Source organism: Homo sapiens, chromosome 5, assembly GCF_000001405.40.
Source record: "Homo sapiens chromosome 5, GRCh38.p14 Primary Assembly".
NCBI classification, from domain to species: domain Eukaryota; kingdom Metazoa; phylum Chordata; class Mammalia; order Primates; family Hominidae; genus Homo; species Homo sapiens.
Genome location: NC_000005.10, coordinates 10,139,264 through 10,143,062, shown reverse-complemented (window position 1 = coordinate 10,143,062; position 3,799 = coordinate 10,139,264). Strand labels below are relative to the sequence as shown.

The 3,799-nt window shown below is 47.8% G+C and overlaps 1 annotated feature.

The window, feature by feature from the left end:
- Positions 2,440–3,073: an enhancer, noted in NCBI's record as "H3K4me1 hESC enhancer chr5:10140102-10140735 (GRCh37/hg19 assembly coordinates)". NCBI's record gives its function as "activates a minimal SCP1, AML or CMV promoter by ChIP-STARR-seq in primed H9 embryonic stem cells {active_cell/tissue: H9 hESC(primed)}" and the evidence as "EXISTENCE:reporter gene assay evidence [ECO:0000049][PMID:30033119]".

Sequence of the window (3,799 nt, the reverse complement as noted above, 5' to 3'; positions counted from 1 at the left end):
TAGGCTGTCTGCAAGCTTAAGGAGATAGGAGAGCCAGTCCGAGTCTCAAAACTGAAGAACTTGGAGTTCGATGTTTGAGGACAGGAAGCATCCAGCACAGGAGAAAAATGTAGGCTGGGAGGCTAAGCTAGTCTCTCCTTTTCCCGTTTTTCTGCCTGCTTTATATTCGATGGCTGCGATTAGATGGTGCCCAGCAGACTAAGGGTGGATCTCCCTTCCTCAGACCACTGACTCAAATGTTAATCTCTTTTGGCAACACCCTCAGAGACACACCCAGGATCAATACTTTGTATCCTTCAATCCAATCAAGTTGACACTCAGTATTAACCATCACAGTATGTTTGTATCCATTAACCAACCTATCTTCCTCCCCGTGTTTCCCCACCCTCTGGTAAATATCATTCTACTCTCTGCCTCCCTAAGATCCACTTTTTTTAGCTTCCACATTGTATTAGTCCATTCGCACACTACTATGAAGAACTTCCTGAGACTGGGTAATTTATAAAAGAAAGAGGTTTCATTGACTCACAGTTCCACATGGCTTGGGGGGCCTCAGGAAACTTACAATCATGGTGGAAGGTGAAGGGGAAGCAAGGACCTTCTTCACATGGTGGCAGGAGAGAGAAACGTGTGTGAGAGTGCAGGAGAAACTACCATTTGTAAAACCATCAGAGCTCATGAGAATTCACTCAGTATCACAAGAATGGCATGGGGAAAACTGTCCCCTAATTCAATCACTTCCCATCAGGTTCCTCCCTTAACACCTGGGGTATTGCAATTCAAGATGATATTTGGTTGGGGACACACAGCTAAACCACATCACACATATAAATGAGAACATGTGATATTTGTCTTTCTGTGCCTGACTTATTTCACTTAACATAATGATCCCCAGTTCCATCCATGTTGCTACAAATGACAGGATTTTATTCTTTTTAATGGCTGAATAGTATTTCATTGTGTATACATCACATTTTCTTTATCCATTCATTTGCTGGTGGACATGCAGGTTGATTGCACATCTTGACTATTGTGAATAGTGCTGCAATAAACATTGGGGTCAGGTATCCTATCCTTTAGATATACTGATTGCCTTTCCTTTGGATAAATCCCCAGTAGTGGAATTACTGAATGGTATAGTAGTTCTATTTTCAGTTCTTAAAAATATTTTCGTTTTAAAAAGTGTATATTTTCATGGGGTACAAGTGCAGTTTTGCTACATTAATATATTGCACTGTGGCAGGTCAGGGAGCTTCACTGCGTCCGTCATTGGATATTTTAGTTTCTTGAGAAACCTCCACACTGTTTTCCACGATGGTACTAATTTACACTCCCACCAACCGTGTTTCAGAGTCCCTTTTCTCTGCATCTTTATCAGCATTTTAAATATTTTGTCTTTTTGATAACAGCCATTCTAACTGGGGTAAGATGATATCTCATTGTGGTTTTGATTTGTATTTTCCTGATGATTAGCGATATTTGGCATCTTTTCATATACCGGTTGCCGTTTTTATCTTTCTTCTGAGAAACATTTATTCAGATCCTTTGCCCACCTGTTAATGGGATTATTGGGTTTTGTTTTGCCATTGAATTGTTTGAATTGCTTGTGTATTCTGGAAATCAGCCTCTTGTTGGATAAATAGTTTGCAAATATTTTCTCCCATTCAATAAGTTGTCTCTTTACTCTGTTGAGGCGTATGTTTTGTATGTCTTTTTGCCTTTCACTATTCTAAAAATTATTTTAAATTTTATACAAGTGACAGTCTGTGGTAGATTAGAAAGCAAAACCTGGTCTTTGCCCACAGGGAGTTTGAGAAGCTTTGGCGTGTACAGGACCCTCTCTGTCCTTGCAAGAAGGTGTTGCTTACCCACAGGGAGCCATGAAAAACCAGGGAGCCTGGCAGGACCCAGCCCCTTGGACAGCCCAGGAGGTGAGAAGGATGTTCTCTGCAATGCTTCTGGCCTGGGGGCTTGAGGTGGCCTGGTTTGGACTGGACATCGAGGCGCTGTACAAGAAGCCTGGCTGAGGCTGGTCGTGCACACCAACGGGGTGTGTTGTTGACCTGAATCCACCATGCAAAGCAGGGCAGATGTTTGGCTGTTGACCAGCCCAGGGCTCCTTGAACCTGAAGGGTGGGGCCTGGTGGTGTATTTGGGAGGCTTGGGTCTCCTTGCCTGGCTGCTGTTGGCCCCCTTCCAGGCCTTCCCTGCACACATGGGAGGAGGCTGTGGGAGGCTCTGTGGAATCCGTGCTGCCCTGTGCTTCAGCTGTTTGTTCTAGTCTCCTTCACAGACAGTGGCTCCCCAGCTCAGGGACACTGCATGCCTGATCATCCTGGGGGCTGGGCCTGTGCCTGGCTCACAGCAGGTGCTCAATACATGTTTACTGAGGAACAACTGGACACATGGATCTTTTCCTTTCAGGTCATGTGCCCTCTGGTGGTGTGTAGGGCAAGGAGTCCTGCGGAAGGCAGGACCTCTGAGATGCCCTGAACACTGGGCCCCAGGGCCAGGGCACACAGGGCAGACCTGCTGCTGTGCACAGGGGAGGCTGCCAGGCCCTGGGGGCACCACATACCCATCATCTTTGTCCTGCATGGGCTTGGGGCTGGAAGTGCCCCTCAGAGAGAAGACAGGGACTCAGGGCTCACTGGACAGAGAGTGCAGGCATGCATAGAGTGACCTTCCCGTAGGGCCAGGGGTCAGGGGAGGCTGTGTGGCATGGTCACTGCCTTTGTCTGCTTGAGCTTCTGTCTCTGACTGAGTGGCCTAAACAATAAACACCTATCTCACAGCTCTGCAGGCTGGAAGTTCGAGATCAGGGTGCCAGCAGGGCTGGGGCCCTCTTCCTGGCTGCAGATCGCTGCCTTCTGACTGTGTCCTCACATGGTGGAAGGAGACTGAGAGAGCTTTCCGGGATCCCTTCTATAAGGGCACTAATCTCAATCATGAGGAGTCCACCTGCATGACCTAATCACCTCCCCACAGCCTACCCCCAAATACCATCACCTTGGGGGCAAGGAGTTCAACACGTGAGTTTTGAGGGGACACAAGCATTCCATCCATAGCAGCTGTCTAGAGGAACCAGCTTAGCCAACCAACTTTCATAATTTACTGGGGAATGCTCACACTTCAACAAAGCAAATGTTCTGAGAGAGAAGGGCCTAAACAAGGCTAGACTGTATCTGTCTATCTATCTATCTATCTATCTATCTATCTATCTATCTATCTATCTATCATCTATCTATTTATTGTAGAGATGGGGGTCTCACTATGTTGCCCAGGCTAGTCTCCAACTCCTGACCTTAAGCCATCCTCCCACCTTGGCCTCCCAAAGTGTTGGGATTACAGGTGGGAGCCCACCACTTCTGGCCCAAGGCTAGAATTTTGAAGAGTTATAAATTCTAGAGGGAAGATGAGCTGTGCTGGCTTTTAGGACAGCTGAGTGACTGCTCGCTCCCTGCGGATTTCCCGCACAGAATCAGCTGATCTGGTTCCCCAGGGACCCTTCCTTCCTCCCTCTGCTCTCCACCCAAGTTCCCTCTACATCTCCCCAAGGGGCTCCTCCCCGTTTTAGGCCAAGATCTGCAGGTCCTTTTGAGAAAAGGTCATAACCAGGTGCCATGAAGCCTGAAGCCTGGGAGAGAGGCGTCTCTGAGGGCCGGGAAGCAAGGTGCCCTCCTCACTAGCAGCCCAGGGACTCGGGCTGAATCATAAAGGGCACAGCCTAGGACCTGGGGGGAGTGGGGGCAGTCTTGAGTTTGTGATTTCAAGTAAAACCAGGAGGAGGGTTCAGGTC